Here is an 18,812-nt window from a genome sequence, read left to right as displayed (position 1 = left end):
TAAGAGCTAAATGGAATGCCAAGAAGAGTCTGTGTAGTACTTTAAACCTACAAGTTCTTTCAGTGAGTGTGCATAACTTGGGGTTTTAATAACTATGTAAAGCCAACTGAATAATCTGAAGTTCACTTGAGTTCAAGTGTTCATACCTCAGAATCCCCACTCTGCGATAAAGGTCAGTTTTCTACATAAACCTAAACAATGCGTTGGAGTGGACAAAGTGAGTGGCAGAAAGAGTGAGAGAAGGTGGGAAAAGGCAGGAATCCAGGCTCCTGGTCTTTGATAGGAAAATCTTTTTATATTCTCTCATGGTGACAGAGAATAGGGAAATCTGAGACACATCAGATGTGAGACGAGATGTCATGCCCTATTTCAGCTCAAAGGCTCCTTAGGAATTTAGCATCATTCACACTCTTCATACGCCCCACTTTGGGCCGCTAACTTCAGGGTCATAGTGTGACAGAACTCCAGTTTCTCATCACTGGACATTCTTTTTCCAAGACAGAAAGTCCACTGAGGACATCACTAACCTGCCTGATAAGGGAGCTCTTAGGGGGCAGGTCCAAAGATTGCCCTTAGTTTGGGAGACCCTACAGCTTCCTGTGTAGACTCATTTTGCCTGAAGTAATCACTGCCTTATCAGACATTATTTAATTTAGGAATATACTAAGTATTAGATTTTTTTCCCTGATAAAGCAGTTATTTTAATGGCTTTTTTCTCAACATTGTGATTGTATGTTTTCTGAAAATATCTGAGTGTTTTTTCTTGAGAAATAGGATTCTCATATTATATATGAAAAATTTCAGAGCAAGAAAGGACTACAGTCCTCTTTAAGAAGAAACTGAAGTCTAAAATAATTAAGTATACTGTAGGCTCAGATTATCTCAGTAAAAAAAAAAAAAGATAAAATAAAATGATTAACTAATTCGACTCAAGTCATACTTCTGTAACACCTAAATATTATTCCCATGAAAAACCCACCTAAAGTCAAAACCTAAAAAGTGGTGAAGCTGGTATTCAAACTCAGATCTATTTGTCTCCACTGGCTTTGGAGGCAGCAGTGATATGGTAGTGAAAGAGTCATCTGATACCAGCACCCATTATGTTGTGTGGCTTTTCTCATGCAGATAGAGAACTGCTCTGAATACCTAGATTGGTAATGTGAGTGCAGTGACGTGCTACAATTTGAATCAATGCTAATCAAAGGCAAAAAGGATTTGGGGTTGTCCTTCTACTTGTGTTTCCGGAATCTGATTCTATTGACAACAGAATAACTAGCACCTGTTTCTTTCCAAGACTTACTTGAATTCTTCAATTTTTCCCAGCCGTGGAGCCACCTGTAAATCTAGAGCAGTGTTCCTTAAAGGGTCTGTGTGGACCACCTAAACCAGAGGCACTCACTTGGAGGTCTTTTGATAAATATACAGATTCCTACCTAGGTCCCACCCACAATTTCCCACTCAGAATTTCTTGGGGGAGAGGAGTAAACAGAGATTTTTATATCTCTCTGAAGATGCTTATTACACTGAAGTTTGAGGATCACTGAGATTATAGAGCAATATCCCTATCCCTGTGGATGAGGCTGCAATAGCCTTTGCCTGAGTGGTTTGAAAATAATAGAATTGAAATCATAATTAAAATCAGCTGGGTGTTGTGAGGCATGCCTGTAATCCCAGCCCTTTGGGAGGCCGAGGCAGCAGGACAGTTTGAGGCCTGGAGTTCAAGACTAACCTGGGCAACATAGCAAGACCCCATCCCTACAAAAAAAATTTTTTTTAAATTAGCGTGGTGGTGGCATGCACCTGTAATACCAGATACTTGGGAGGCTGAGATGCAAGGTTCACTTGAGCCTAGGAGTTTGAGGCTGCAGTGAGCTATGATTATGCAACTACTCCAGCCTGAGCAACACAGCAAGACCCCATCTCTGAAAAAATTAAGTAAATATCAAAGTAGCCTCAAGCAATCTTTTTTCTTTTCTTTTCTTTTTGATATGGAGTGCTCTTTCACCCAGGTTGGAGTGCAACGGTGTAATCTCAGCTCACTACAACCTCCGCCTCCTGGGTTCAAGCAATCCTCCCACCTCAGCCTCCCAAATAGCTGGGATGCCACCATGCCCAGCTAATTTTTGTATTTTTAGTAGAGACAGGGTTGGCCTGGCAATGTTGGCCAGGCTAGTCTTGAACTCCTGACCTCAAATGATCTGCCTGCCTCAGCCTCCCAAAGTGCTGAAATTACAGGTGTGAGCCACCACGCCCAGCCCAAGCAATCTTTTCTTAGGGAAACTGAACTAAGTTTCCCAGGGGTGAAGTTTTAAAACTATCTTGAATTGCCTTTGTATTTTATTTTTCCAGGCACACAATAATTTGGAAAATAAAAAAATAAAAAAGTAAAATACTTATATTACACTAATGCCCATTTGACAACTATTTTTAACATTTTGATATAATATCTTCCTGGCTTTTTTTTTCTTTTAGAGATCTGCTTTGTCCTTACATAAGGACGACTTAAAAATGAGCTCCTTGGTCAGAAGCAATATTGTGTAAAAACACCCATTAGTACCTGGATAGTCACATTGGCAGAAGCATTGCGGTCAGGGAAGACAAATCTATATCCTAATTAAAGCTATTCACAGAGGACAAATGGCTACCTCCTCCACTGTGGTCAACCTGCCAAGAGGTAGTCTTCTCCTCTTTCCCAGGGAAAAATCCTGTGTAAAGGGCTCCATCTCAGTCTCTGCTGTTGACAAGGTAGACACTCAGCAATGGGCATAGCCACACCAAGCTTGGTGAGGGAAGTACATGTTGAGCCTATGCATAATCTTGATCCCTTCCACTGGAGCCACTGAGCAAGCATTAAGGTAACTGCAGAAAGAGACTGACACCTCCACAGGGCAGGTCATTCTGTCCATCTGATTACTGAAATTCTCTTCTATAGTGGATCCCCTTTGCTGAGTATTCATGTGGGACATTTTTTTTTCACTCTATCCTGAAAGTGTCATCCACCTGTCTCTTCCCCTAACCTTTGGTGACCTTTGTCACCAATCTACCAAAACCTTTTTTCTGAGTCCCCAACATTTCAAACTAACAGTCACTGTCCATGAATCAGAATATGTGTACTTCTGACCATCTCTTAATCTACACAGAGTGGACAACTAAATGTATTGCTCAGAGTTCTGCCCACTGGGAGAATTTTTCATCACCACTGTCTTACTAGGCCATCCCTGAATGGGGTTATAATGCTGCAGCCATCTGCATCCAGTTAATGCCAGATATATTGTGCAAAACCATCTGTAAACCAGGCCTTAGCTTTTTCTTCCTCAGTCAGCTGGTGACTGGGAACTCCCCACAATGAGTTAGTAGAGAGATGGCACTGTAGCAGGAATAGGTGCTATAGGAAACCAAGCCACCTCTCATGCAACATACTTACGTCTTCAGGACTTCAGGATCTGCTTGCACCGAATCTCATTCATACCATCTTCACTTGATGTTGGATTGCTGATGCCTTCAACCAATGTTCTATCTTGGTGGTTCAGAAAACGTCCAGTTCATCATGGGTAGTTCAGGACATGTGGTCTCCAGATGTCCCATGATCAGAAGTTTAGTTTCTACCAGGGCCCCGTAGAAAACCAAGATCTGTTTCTGAAAAGAATTATCTATTCCAAAACCCTAGTGGTCTGTGCTTCTTCCAGTATAACTGTTGTAGGCAGGCTCTAAAATGGCCCCCAGTGATCTCCACCTTCTGCTATTCATGCCTTTAAGTAATCCCATCCCCTTAGGTATGAGTTGGACTAGTGGTTTGCTTCTAATTATTAGAATATTTTGGATGTGATGGAATATCACTTCTGAGATTAGGTTTAAAAAGACTTTGGGGCCGGGTGTGGTGGCTCACACCTTGTAATACCAGCACTTTCGGAGGCCAAGGCAGGCAGATCACAAGGTCAAGAGATTGAGACCATCCTGCCAACATGGTGAAACTCCATCTCTACTAAAAACACAAAAATTAGCTGGGCGTGGTGGCACGCTCCTGTAATCCCAGCTACTCGGGAGGCTGAGGCAGGAGAATCACGTGAACCCAGGAGGTGGAGGTTGCAGTGAGCCAAGATCATGCCACTACACTCCAGCCTGGCGACAGAGCGAGACTCCATCTCAAAAAAAAAAAAAAAAAGACTTTGGTTTCCATTTTGGTCTCTCTCTCTCTCTCATCACTTATACTAGAGGAAGCAAGCTACCTTGTTGTGAGAAGGCCTATGGAAAGACCCATGTGGCATTCAAGAAACTGAAGCTCTCAATTCATCAACCTTCGAGGAACTGAAGCCTGCCAATGACCATGTGAGTGAGGTTGGAAGCTGATCCTTCAACGCCATTCTCAATTAATACTCAAGTAATTGAGATGACTGCAACTCTGCCCAGTGGCTTAGTTGCAACTTCATGAGATACCATGAGCTAAAACCACCTAGCTGTGTTGCTCCTGGATTGATCAACAGAAATTGTGAAATAATAATTTTATTTTGAGACAAAGTTTTGTTCTTGTTGCCCAGGCTGGAGTGCACCAGTGCGGTCTTGGCACACTGCAACCTCTGCCTCCCAGGTTCAAGCAATTCTCCTGCCTCAGCCTCTCAAGCAGCTGGGATTACAGGGGTCTGCCAGCACAACCAGCTAATTTTTTTTTGTATTTTTAGTAGAGACAGGGTTTCACCATGTTAGCCAGGTTAGTTTCAAACTCCTGACCTCAGGTGATCCACCACCTCGGCCTCCTGAAGTGCTGGGATTACAGGTGTGAGCCACCGTGCCCGGCCTCATTATTGTTTTAAGCTGCTAAATTTAGGGGTAATTTGTTATGTATCAACAGTTGAATACAATGATGATCTATGGGCTTATGGGTGTTCTACACAATACTGTTTGTGATTAAGGAACTCGTTTCTCAGCTAAAGAAGTTTACCAATGAGCTCATGCCCGTAGTTTATTGGTCTTGCCATGTGTGACATCTCTCAGAAGCAGCAGGGCTAATAAAACAGCTTACTGAAGTTTCTGTTACAGTGCCAGTTGAGAGACAACACTCTGAAAGGTTAGGGCGCTATCCTATAGGATGTAGGGAATTCTTCGAAACAGAGATTAAATAATATAGGGTACTCTTTCTTCGCCAGAATACATGGATCAAGGGGTGGAACTGGGACTGGCTCCTCCACGATGACCGTTAACTACCAACCAGCAAAATTTTCTTTTCCATTCTGCAACTTTGATTGCTGCTGGTTTAGAAGTTTTAGCTCTCAAAGGAGGAATGCTTTCATCAGAGGTCACAACAATGGCTCCACTGAATTGGAAGATGGGACTTCCATGCTATTGAAATAACAAACAAAGGTGGGATCACTGTTTTTGCCAGGACAATTGCTCCCAATTACTAAGGATAAATTGAGTCGCTGCTACACTAACGGAGATACAGGAGACTATGTTTAGAGCCCAAAACATTCTCTAAGGTGCTTCTGGGTACTATCAAATCCAGTAACAAAAGTTAAGGCAAAACCACAGCAACACATAAACAGACACTAAGATTCAGACCCTTTGGAAGTGAAGTTCTGGATCAGCTCCACCAGAAAAGAATTCTGACTGGTTGCAGGGCCAGCTGATGGCAAAGGAAACAGACTATACAGCAGATATGACTACACAGGACTGTAATAACTATGTAATTTTCTTCCTTGCTTATTATGTAATTATTGACACATATTTACTTACTTTCCCCCTCCTCTTCATTGTCCCCCTTTATTTTACACCAGGACTGTTATCAGTGGTTAACTTTACAATTTAGTCTTTTAGAATATTTAGGTGAGATTACATAAAACAGACATCACCCAGATATGGATGTAGTGACTACTGGAACTTTGGGCCCTCTTTTTTAGGAAGAGGATGGAAATGTCTAAAAAAGACAGTTGTATCTTGCTAAGCAAAAGCAGTAAGATACTATCGTTATCAGAAGATAGAAACACAAATTGATGCTGACTGACCAAAAGGATAGATTCTGCTGGCTATTTACTGTCTCTCAGCTTCAAGCACACCTTTCAAAACTCTGGTTCATGTTTGGGTGTGCAAAATATAATTTCCAGACTCCCTTGCCACTTGGTTTCTGGTTAGGTTCTGCAAAAAGAAAACCCTGAGTGGAGCTTTGAAAGAGAGAGGAAGAAAGGGAGAAAGGACTTTCCCTGCTTCCAGTTCCTGTCAGGATTGCTTTCATAGCAGCAGCAGCAAACTGTGGCACTGAGCTTCTTCTAGCACCATTGCAGCCCTGGCAACACCCTTGCTGTGCTCCCTTGACAGTAGAAATACCAGCCCCACTGTGCTCCCTCACCAACTAGGCCATGCCACCTAAACCACACGCGCGCCTGCCAGGTTGCACTCTGATAACACTACTCTTACCTTTTATTTCCCCAGTCCTAAGGCTGTTAACTGCTTGCACTTACTAATCTTTGGTTATCTCAGTGTCCTCTCATTCCTCTTTCAGCCTTCCAACAACTACATAACAATTTCCTACGTAAGATCCCACCTTTGTTTGCAATAACAAATGTGGTTTCTGTTTTCTTGATTGAGCTATGACTGATTCATGGGCGTATAACCAGTGAAATATCAAAATCAGTATTTTGGTTATGACTGACTTTGGGGACCAATGAAACACATAGCAGAAAACTCAAAATAAGCCCCGTGAATTATTTGGTAGGACAGATCCACCTATGCCTCAGAAATTGTTGCCTCAGTGGTTCCACTTGCTGAACTCCAATTTCTCTAAACTCTTACAGGCCAGTGTGTGTGTTTTGCATTTATTTGGCCACCAATGGCTTTAAGTCACTGAGCTTTACAAGGTGGTCCAGAAGGTTCTGTCCTCCTAGGGATATCCTGCATAGCTGTTGTATAGTGCTTGACCTTTGGATATACACGCAGTCCCTAACTTACAATGGTCTAACTTATAATTTTTCACTTTACAGTGGTGCAAAAGCGATATGCAAGCACACTTCAGATTTTGAATTTTTACCTTTTCCTCCAGCTAGCGATATACGGTCCAATATCTCTCATGATGCTGGGCAGCAGCAGCAAGCCACAGCTCTGTCAGTTACACAATCACAAGGGCAAACAACCAACATACCATTCTGTTTTTCACTTTTATTACGGTATTCAATAAATCACGAGGCTATTCAACACTATTATAAAGTAGCTGATTTTGCCAAACTGTAAGCTGATGTAAGTGTTCTGAGCATGTTTAAGGTAGGCAAGGCTAAGCTATGATGTTCAGTAGGTTAGGTGTATTAAATGCATTTTTGACTTATTTTCAACTTACGATGCGTTTATTGGGAGATAACCCCATCTAAGTTGAGGAGCATCTGTATTAAATGAAGGGTAGCACATTGCTGCCCACAAAAGACATTGGCTAGGGTCAGGATAGGAAAGAAAAAGGTGGTACTACTGCTAAAAGAGAAAACGGTCATTTGAAATCTCCACCAGGTGATGGGATATCTGCCCGGCCCTACCCCATTAACATCTACAAAGACCAAGTCTTTCCCTTTCACTACTGCTTTTAATGTGCATTTTAATCTGGCTTTACTTGGAGTTTTTGTTAACTTTGTAGTAAGGAGTCCCTGAGTGTTTTCCCCCCTCCCCTTCTCCTTTAGGAAATGCCTGTGTGCCCAGAGAAATCACTGAAAAAACATATCATGCACACCTATCAATCAGCTCCATCTCAGAGCTGTGGAAGCAGCACACATTAAAACCCAGACAAAAACCAAATGTCACACTAATTTTCTACTGTGAAGGAAAGAGCTAACCAAAAGAAACCACCAACCATCACCACCCCATCAACACCACCATTACAAGAGTCTGATTATTTTAATGATCACCAAAACAATGTTTTCACAATTGTTCTTCCTAAAAAGACACTTTATGTTTCATACTAGCAGTAAAATTGCCTCCTTTCTTACAGGTTCTAATCAATAAAGAACAGATACAAGGAGGGCCAGGCATGGTGGCTCATGCCTGTAATCCCAGCACTTTGGGAGGCCGAGGCAGACGGATCACTGAGGTAAGGAGTTCGTGACCGGCCTGGACAACATGGTGAAAACCTGTGTCTACTAAAAATACAAAAATTAGCTGGGCATGGTGGTGCATGCCTGTAATCCCAGTTACTCAGGAGGCTGAGGCAGGGGAATTGCTTGAATCCGGGAGGCAGAGGTTGCAGTGAGCTGAGATCATGCCACTACAGTCCAGCCTGGGTGACAGAGCAAGACTCCATTAAAAAAACAAAACAAAAAAAAGGACAGATACAGGGCACTAATAACTTTGAAAATAGAGGCTCTCTGGTAAAGCTGGATTGGGAAGCAAGAGATCTAGGACCTGAAGTCAAAGTAGAGCCACCTACTGCCTCCCCTTAAATTTAGGCTTAGCCCCAGCCAGTGGGGAAGATTTTCAAGGCAGATCCTGAGCAAACCTGCCCTGCCACCACCTAAAGGATCACAGGTCTGTCTAAAAAATTCCACTGTACAAGTGTCTTTTCACGAAGGAGCATGGGGGGAAGGTGGGCGGGAGACCCAGCCTTCTTACTGTCCTTGCTGCAGGCAGTGCACCAGTTACGGGGAGTGGAGGGGACTGTCTCCTGATGGAAGTCAGGCTTTCACCAACCAGATTACTGACTCCTCTCCCTGCTTTGAAGAACAAGTAGCCCAAAAGAGATACTGGAAAAGTTCACTACAATTCTGCTTTCTCCTGTGGAGTGGGGCATAAGCCTCATCAATGTGGAAATGACTAAACGCCAAACATCTACTCCAAATTATTTTCCTGAAAGATTTCTTCTCAGTAGCTATTACAGAGAGATGATGGTATAATACAAAATTCAAAAATAGTTCATTGCAGCACTATTCACAATAGCAAAGACATGGAATCAACCTAAATGCCCATCAGTGGCAGATTGGATAAAGAAAATGTGGTACATATATACCATGGAATACTATGCAGCCATAAAAAAGAATGAATCATGTTCTTTGCAGGACCTGGAGGCCATTATCCTTAGCAAACTAATACAAGAAGAGAAAACCAAATACTGCATGTTCTCACTTATAAGTGAGAGCTAAATGATGAGAACACTGGGACACAAAGAGGGGAACAACACACACTGGGGCCTACTTGAAGGTGGAGATTGGGAGGAGGGAGAGGATCAGAAAAAATAGCTATTGGGTACTACTAGGTTTAGTACCTGGCCAGTGAAATAACCTGTACAACAAATCCCCATGCCCCAAGTTTACCTATATAACAAACCTGCACATGTACCCTTGAACCTAAAAGTTTAAAAAATAAAAGTAAAATTAAAAAATAATAAAGACAAAGATCTATAATAATTTCTAGATCTGCACTGTCGAGTACAATAGCCACTAAATACATGTGGCTATTTAAATTAAAATTAAATAAAATTAGAATTCATTCTCTCAGTTACACTAGACACTTTTCAAGGCTCGAGAGCCACATGTGGCTAGTGGGTTCTTTATTGGACAGTGAAGATACAGCACATTTCCATCACTGTAGAGATTCTATTGAACAGCACTGTGTTAAATGTAGGAAAACAGGATACTGAATTAACAACTCTACTTTTCTCATAACTGAATGCAGTTGTCATCAAATATTATGGTCACAAACCTCCTAAAAAGAATTTCAAAACACTATTATTCTTATAAATTTTTAAGTTGACATAAATTTTTCATCATAAGTTTCAACAGCTATAGCAAATGATCTAATTTCCATGTTATATTTCCATTTTAAAATAAAATCAGGCAGGGCACAGTGGCTCACGCCTGTAATCCCAGCACTCTGAGAGGCCAAGACGGGCAGCTTGAACACAGGAGTTCAAAACCAGCCTGGCCAACATTGCGAAACCCCGTCTCTACAAAAAAATACAAAAAGTTAGCTGGGCGTGGTGGCATGTGCCTGTAGTCCTAGCTACTCAGGAGACTGAGGCGGGAGAAATCACCTGAGCCCCAGAGGTCGAGGCTGCTAGTGAATCTTGAACTCATGCCATGCACTCACTCTGGGTAATAAAGCGAAATACTATCTCAAAAAAATTAAATAAATAATGACACCACTCTCAAATGTATTTACTGGAGTGGCTGTTTGATATTATCTCAAATTAAAAAAAAAATTTCCACTTCTCCCACAAAGGTATCTTTTTTTAAAATTGTAGTCACCTAGCTAATTTTTTCACCCACAAAGTTATCTTAGTATATCTTTATGTATTAATCTGCATTATGTAAAAATGTTCAGTGAAGTTTTTTTTTGTTTGTTTTTTGTTTTTGTGAGATGGAGTCTTGCTCTGCCTCCCAGATGAAGTGCAGTGGCATGATCTCGGCTCACTGCAACCTCTGCCTCCTGGGTTCAAGCTATCCTCCTGCCTCAGCCTCCTGAGTAGCTGGGATTACAGGCACCAGCCACCATGCCCGGCTATTTTTTGTATTTTTAGTAGAGACGGGGTTTCATCATGTTGGCCAGGCTGGTCTCAAACTCCTGACCTCAGGTGATCCACCCACCTCGGCCCTCCAAAGTGCTGGGATTACATGCGTAAACCACCCTGCCTGGCCTTTTTTTCTTTTTTCCAAGATGGAGTCTTGCTCTGTCACCCAGGCTGGACTGCAGTGGCATGATCTCCGCTCACTGCAACCTCTGCATCCTGGCTTCAAGCAATTCTCCCTACCTCAATCTCCCGAGTAGTTGGGATTACAGGCACGTTCCACGTCCAGCTAATTTTTGTAGTTTTAGTAGAGACAGGGTTTCGCCATGTTGGCCAGACTGGTCTCGAACTCCTGACCTCAGGTGATCTGCCTGCCTCGACCTCCCAAAGTGCTGAGATTACAGGCTTGAGCCACCATGCCCAAACGAAGATTTTTAAAAATGAAAAAATTTCTTCTGACACTTAGTTACAATATCATTATACAATTGAGTAAAACAAATATACATTTTGAAATATTAAACACTAAAAATAAAAACTTATTGAAAATATCTTAATGAGATTAACGCTTTTAAAAATTAGATGTCATGTATAAATATTGTTAACTGCTGGAATGACACAGAGTTCAATGGAAACATATAGCAAAAAGTTTATCAAGCAAGTGTGGGACTTAAAAATATGTATTGGCTGGGCACGGTGGCTCACGCCTGTAATCCCAGCACTTTGGGAGGCCGAGACGGGCGGATCACGAGGTCAGGAGATCCAGACCATCCTGGCTAATACGGTGAAACCCTATCTCTACTAAACAAAATACAAAAAATTAGCCGGGCGTGGGGGCGGGCGCCTGTAGTCCCAGCTACTCCGGAGGCTGAGGCAGGAGAATGGCGTGAATCCAGGAGGCGGAGCTTGCAGTGAGCCGAGATGGTGCCACTGCACTCCAGCCTGGGTGACAGAGCGAGACTCCCTCTCAAAAAAAAAAAAAAAAAAGATGTATTAAGGCCAGGTAAGGTGGCTCACACCTGTAATCCCAGCACATTGGGAGGCAGAGGCAGGCAGATCACGAAGCAAAGAGATACAGACTATCTTGGACAACATGGTGAAATCCCATCTCTACTAAAAATACAAAAAAATTAGCCGGGCGTGGTGGTGCGCGCCTGTAGTGCCAGCTACTCAGGAGGCTGAGGCAGGAGAATCACTTGAACCCGGGAGGCGGAGGTTGCAGTGAGCCAAGATTACGCCACTGCACTCCAGCCTGGCAACAGAGTGAGACTCCGTCTCAAAAAAAATAAAAATTAATAATTAATAATTCAGTATCACAACCAGGACAGAAGAACATAAAGGGAAATGAAATTGTTCACCAAATTAGCATTATTGAGGACATATTTAATAATTCAATAGGCAGCTGTTGAGCACTTTTGAGACTGTCTCAAAACAAAACACCATCTATATATCTATTAATAATATGTAAACTACACAATAATATAAGATAGATTATAGAAGCTAGAGCACACTGCACATGGTAGGGATGAATAGAGAGCAATGAAGTGAAATTTTTACTAAGCAGTAAACTCCCAAAGTTTAAAAGGATTTAAACATTCTAATAGCGTTTTGGCAATTAAAAAAAAAATGGTTCTCCTAGTAATCAGAAAAGAAAATTCTGTTTAAAGATGTAATGTTTATCTATTGAAACACTGAATAGATAAACATATTAATGAAGCTTTCTCCTCCTTATTTAAAATCATGCAAAATACACAAATAAGATGCAGGTTCATATCTTAGTTTGAGTGGGCTTTTCAGAGACTAGTATTTCAAAATGCCCCTTTATGTGGTACCCTGGAGATTTTCTTACAACTCTGGGAAAATGCACTAAGACTGGTAAAAAATAAACTTCTTATGTAAAAAGGAAGAATGGCAATTGTGAAAAAGATGCTAAAAAGAACCTTCAAACACCTACCTTGACTTTAAGCAACTCAATTTTAGGAGAAAGTACACATTTAAGTAGCAAAACTTGGAAACTAATTCTCTAAAAACCACTGACATCTGCAAAACCTGAATCTCATGGAAAAGCGTTGTAAAACTCAAGTGGTAGGAATACCCCTGTTTGAAGGCCACTGGTTTAAAGAATATTCTTAAAAGACTGTTCTACAGTGTCAAATCAACAGAACTACTTGCATTTGGTAGTTTAAAACAAACAAACAAACATACTGAAATGGAATTTTAGATAAAGAACAGACATAAGAATAGAAGTTTTTTGGAAAATAGAAATTCAAGTCACTTGTAGGACTTACCGCTGAGACTCAATAACAGTGACACATCTAAGCCAAGATTAATCGTAAACTCCCCGTGTATACTGTTGAATTTAAATCTCTCACTCCCAGAGGCAAAATCTCTGCACTCCAGCCTACACCTTTAACACTGCTGGCACACCTCATCAGAAGTACAGAAATCATTTCAGTCTGAAGACCCCCAAATTTATCACAATCCCTCGAACAACAAGTGTAGTATTACTCTAAAAAAGTTTTACTCTAAAATAGAAAGATATATCTCAACTATTACAGAAATGAATAACTTACAAAACTTACCCACTATGTGAAAACATAAACAGCAAGTAACACTATTATCAACTTTAAAGCAAATTGAACCCAACTGTCCAAGGTCATAGATATCACAGACAAGGATAAGAATAATGACTATGTACATGGCAACTTTTTTCATTTTACTGTTCCATACAGACTAATTCAGGACTTTCTAAATGTATCATAGAGCATCCTCTGGATCTACATTTTGGACTATGTTTTAATCATCATGAGAAAAGGTCCAAGATAGACCCAAGTTTTAATGAATTACACACTCTATTGTAGTACAACACATTAAGCTGACATACCAAACTGATTTCCTTTGAGTCACAACCTCAACTGCTACCGGGAACAGGAAAACATCTAAATGTGGAAGCATGTTGGGTGTAAGATAACAGAGAATAATGAAAGCACATTCCATTTGAAAGACACTCATTTATTTGTTAATAACACAAGCCAAACAAAAACATATCTGGGGATGAATCTGCGAAACCTACTAGGGTTAAAATTTTACTTCTCTTAATTGTTTGGCTTCCAAAACATATTTGGCTTCCAAAACAGATTCAAATTCAAAAAATATTTACGACCAGCTGTGGTGGCTCATGCCTGTAATCCCAGCACTTTGGGAGGCCAAGGTGGGCGGATCACGAGGTCAGGAGATGGAGACCATCCTAGCCAACATGGTGAAACCCCGTCTCTACTAAAAATGCAAAAATTATCTGGGTATGGTGGTACGTGCCTGGAGTCCCAGCTACTCGGGAGGCTGAGGCTGGAGAATCACTTCAACCTGGAAGGCGGAGGTTGCAGTGAGCTGAGATTGTGCCACTGCACTCCAACTTGGTGACAGAGTGAGACTCTGTCTCAAAAAAAATGAATAAATAAAATAAAAAATAAATATGTACAAAGTGCCCACTAGGTAGAAGGTATATATCATTAGAATGAGACAATGCCTATTAAATGTTATTGTTGCCGGGTGCACTGGCTCACGCCTGTAATCCCACCACTTTGGGAGGCCGAGGCGGGCAGATCACGAGGTCAGGAGTTCGAAACCAGCCTGACCAATATGGTGAAACCCTGTCTCTACTAAAAATACAAAAATTAGCTGGGCATGGTGGTGTAATACCAACTACTCAGGAAGCTGAGGCAGTAGAATTGCTTGAACCCGGGAGGCAGAGGTTGCAGTGAGCCAAGATCACACCACAGCACCCCAGCCTGGGTGACAGAACGAGACTGTCTCAAAAAAAAAAAAAAAAAAGGAAAATGTTATTGTTGTCACAACAAGTACATTTGCATAAAGTTGCCTCATTATACTTGAGATGTGATTTCAGCAAAGATTAGAATTATACCCAAATTACAGATCAAATCTATATCCCTGATTTAATTAATTACATAAAAAAGAAAAATGTATTTACTTCAGGTGTAAAGAATATTTTATTTCAATACTTCAATATTGAAATCAGCTATCACACATATCCACCAACTGATATTTCATTGTCCATCTCTCAGGAGATATTCAAAGTGAGATTAATTTAATGAAGCCTTCTCAGCAAACCTAGAACACTGTACTTCATCTTCAAATTTAAGTCATAGCCTTTAATAAGTTACTTCCTAGTCATTATTTTATAGTATTTATGAAATAGTGCAATATATCAATGAGGTATCATTTAAGAGGCAAATACTCTATAGATTTGGATTTGTCATCCCAATTCCTTGGCATTCAATAATATAAGTATCTTTAGCGGCGTCTTCTTCATCTTCTGATTTCTTCACAATAAATTTAGCCTGAAATCAGAAGAGGAGTATATAAGTAATACGAAGAGAGATGGAGGAAAGAGCCCACAACTCCAACTTATGTAGGCAGAGAGTTAATGTCAAGCCCATTTTATTGAAAAACCTACAGAGACACAAAGATCAAATGATTGATGAGAAAGAAACTTAATAGCCTCAAGATAACACATTTCATTGTACAACCATGGTTCTTCTTCAGAGGTATACATACCTGTGAGTTTTGTCCAAATATATATGCCTGGGCCCCTTCCACGCACACTGAATCAGAAAGCTCAGATGTACAGCTTAGGCAAATAACAATTTTGAAACCTCAAATGGTAATTTTAATGCAACTGTATTCCCTATGCCCTAAAATTTTTCTGAAACATTTCTACTTTTATCTTGTCAAGTCACAAATTACCCTTTAATTTCTTTACATTTTTTCTTGCTAATTTAGTTCCCTATATATATCGTTCAAAAGATCCAGTTCAGAGAAGGTATGTGGGGAGGAGGGGTGGTGGTGGTGATTAACATCTTCCTTCATCTTTAATGTACTGGGCTTAACATCACATTTTTCACTTAGTAACTAAAGTTGGCTTTGAAATATTTTACCTGTATCATTGTATTTTGCTTTTGTTTTTGTTCTGTTTTTGAGACAGAGTCTTGCTCTGTCACCCAGGCTGCAGTGCAGTGGCATGAACACGGCTCACTGCAGCCTCAACTTCCTGGGTTCAAGGGATCCTCCTGCCTCAGCCTCCAGTGTAGCTGGGACCACAGGCACATGCCACCATGCCTGGCTAATTTTTAATTCTGTTGTATAGGCAGGGTCTCACTTTGTTGCCCAGGCTCAAACTCCTAGGCTGAAGTGATCCTCCTGCGTCAGCTTCCTAAAGCGCTGGGATTACAGGCATGAGTCATTGTGCCTGGCCTATATCACTGTATTTTGAAAACATCATTATTTTTAAAGCAAATGTGATTCATTTTAACAAAACTAAATTTAGAATCAAAACAACTAGCCAGGTGCAGTGGTGCACACCTATAATCCCAGCTATTCTGAGGTGGAAGGATCATTTGAGTTCAGTTCAGGAGGCTGGCCTGGGCAACACAGGAAGACTCCTCACAACTCCCATCAACGTCTTAAAAAAAAAAATCAAAACAATTAAATAGGTTAAGTTTGTGGCAAAAGGATTTCAAATATGCCTAAAATCTTAGGATTCTTGGAAGCACAATTTGAAAACCATCACTTGGGGGCCTTACTGAATGAATAGTAATGTTTAAAAATTCTTTCACTTTCAGCATTACATGGTAATGTACTGACACAGAGTGGACACTTGAAATTACTGTTGAATGAATAAATGCTGAATTCTGAGCTAGGTAACCATATTAATTAATTAGTAATATATGCATGCGTTTATATATTTTTCAAATTACAAGCATTATGTAAATATGAAACACACGTAGCAGCTATGAAAATCATTTCTAGCCTATACATAAACCTACTTAAAACTACAAATATGTAGACCTGAAAGGAGCATAGCAGGCCTATCTAGCTTAAGTCTGATTTTACAGATAACTATTTGCATTGAGACAAAGAAAGATAAGAAACTTGCCCCAAGTCACCCAGTTATACACAACAAAGCTGACCAAGATACAAGCTATACACAGGTTCATAGCACTTTCCGTTATGTATACATTTCAAATAACAAGTAAGCATCTACTATATGTAAAGTACTGTGAAAAGTAAAGAATATAATGAATAAAACCTGATCTCTGCTATTAAGGAGATCAATCTATAAGGAGAGACAGACAAGTAATAGTTATAAATACAGCATAAGTAGAGTAACAAAAAAAATAGAGTTAACACTCTTGACATCAAATACAATTTGCCTTTAATTCCCATCAGTCTTTCCTACAATTTAACAAAAACTTATCTATGTTTCTTAATAACAATTAAAAGTATACATAATTAAGAATCAAACTGGGCACAGTAGCTCACAGCTGTAATCACGGCATTTGGGAAGCTGAGGTGGGAGGATCACTTGAGCCCAGGAGTTCAGGACCAGCCTGGGCAACACAGGGAGATCCCGTCTCTCAAAAAACAAAAACAAAAACAAAAAAAAAATTAGCAGGGTGTGGTGGTGCACAGCTGCAGTCCTAGCTACTTGATAGGCTGAGGTGAAAGGATCACTTGAGCCCAGGAGTTCGGGGCTACTGTGAGCTATGATACTGCCATTGTAATCTAGCCTGGGCAACAGAGCAAGCCCCTGTCTCTTAAAAGAAAAAAAAAAAAGAAAGGCCAGGCGCGGTGGCTCATGCCTGTAATCCCTGCACTTTGGGAGGCCAAGGCAGGCAGATCGCGTAAGGCCAGGAGTTTGAGACCAGCCTAGCTAACACAGTGAAACCCTGTCTCTGCTAAAAAGTACAAAAATTAGCTGGACATGGTGGCACACGCCTGTAATCCCAGCTACTCTGGAGGCTGAGGCATGAGAATTGCTTGAACCTGGGAGGCAGAGGTTGCTGTGAGCCAAGACTGTGCCACTGCACTCCAACCTGGGCTAACAGAGCAAGACTCTATCTTAAGAAAAAAAAAAAGAAAAGAAAAAGGATCATCATACAAATAGGAGTAGGGCAGCAACAGTGGTTTTGTGTATGGGACACTTCTGTAATGATTAATTTTTTAAATTAATATATGTTACTTTTGTCACTTTAAAAAATGCTTAAGACTAGGGCTGGGCATGCTGGCTTACACCTGTAATCCTAGCGCTTTGGGAGATTGAGGTCAGAGGACTGCTTGAGCCCAGGAGTTCAAGACCAGCCTGGGAATGTGGCAAGACTCCATCTCTACAAAACATCAAAAAATTAGCCAGGTGTGGTGGCACACTCCCGTAGCCCCAGCTACTTGGGAGGCTGCGGTGGGAGGATCATTTGAGAGCCCAGGAGGTTTGTGCCACTGCAATCCAGCCTGGGCAACAGTGTGAGACCCTGTCTCAAAAACAATAATAATAAAAATGCTTAAGATTAGCAACTTCCCTTATAAAATTGTTACAAATTTTATATTTCTTTATAAAATTACTTTATAAAGAATAAGCAAAATGGGAAATATGCTACATGTTACTGAAATAAGCAAGAAATGAAGTTGTATGCATTAACTGCAAAAAATGCAAAGAGAAACGATTTAGGAGAAGAGGAAAACACCTAAATGTCAACAGTGGTTTTACCGGCAAGGGGAAATTATGAGAAGGCTTTTCCCCTCTATTTCCTATAAAGAAATTACATTAGTTTCATGATGAAATATACCTATTGTTTCTTTAAATTAACAATCCAGGCCAGGCACAGTGGCTCACACCTATAATCACAACACTTTGGGAGGCCAAGGTGGACAGATCACCTGAGCTATGAAGTTTGAGACCAGCCTAAGCAACATGGCAAAACCCCATCTCTACAAAAATTAGAAAAATTAGCCAGGTGTGGTGGCATGTGCCTGTAATCCTAGCTACTTGGGAGGCTAAGGCAGGAGAATCACTTGAGCCTGGGAGGCAGAAGTTGCAGTGAGCCGAGATCATGCCATTGCACTCCAGCCTGGGCAACAGTGTGAGACCCTGTCTCAAAAAAAAAAAAAAAAAGAATCCTGTAGGAAAGGTATGAATATGAGCTCATATAATGATAAATCCTTCTTCATTAAAAACTGTACGTCAACTCTACTAAATTTCAGAGGACAGTGAATATTAGTTTCAACAAATATTCTATTTTACCAATAGAATCAAGAAAATAAAATGTCTAAAATTTTATATAAATTTTTTTATAGCCAACTATGAATCCCTTGTGATTTGATATCATAGTTCACAACAAAACATCTTTACTTACTCTGTAAGGCAGTACCACACAGTGATTATAACATGGGTTTTGAAGTATGCTTTCCCAGGTTTGCTCAAAGCTCAGCTCTGCCACTAAAAATCCATGTGGCCTTGAACAATTTAATGAATCTCTCTGCCTCACTTTACTCATAT

At 40.6% G+C, this 18,812-nt stretch overlaps 1 protein-coding gene across 2 annotated transcripts in view, besides 1 other annotated feature; it reads right to left on the bottom strand.

Annotated features, from left to right (window-relative positions):
• Positions 13,256-13,550: a silencer, noted in NCBI's record as "tiled region #14415; HepG2 Repressive non-DNase unmatched - State 16:ElonW". NCBI's record gives its function as "represses a minimal TATA promoter and a strong SV40 promoter by Sharpr-MPRA in HepG2 cells {active_cell/tissue: HepG2}" and the evidence as "EXISTENCE:reporter gene assay evidence [ECO:0000049][PMID:27701403]".
• RTCA (RNA 3'-terminal phosphate cyclase) overlaps positions 13,454-18,812 on the bottom strand; it is a 26,554-nt gene continuing 21,195 nt past the window's right edge. For both annotated transcript variants that reach the window (NM_001130841.2, NM_003729.4), the window contains one exon: positions 13,454-14,820. In NM_001130841.2, coding sequence (NP_001124313.1) covers positions 14,719-14,820 — 102 coding nt within the window. In that variant the 3' untranslated portion in view covers positions 13,454-14,718. The remainder of the gene's footprint in view (positions 14,821-18,812) is intronic.

This window comes from Homo sapiens, chromosome 1, assembly GCF_000001405.40.
Source record: "Homo sapiens chromosome 1, GRCh38.p14 Primary Assembly".
Lineage (NCBI taxonomy): Eukaryota > Metazoa > Chordata > Mammalia > Primates > Hominidae > Homo > Homo sapiens.
Note: the sequence above shows the minus strand (reverse complement) of the source record. Positions and strands in the feature narration are given on the sequence as shown.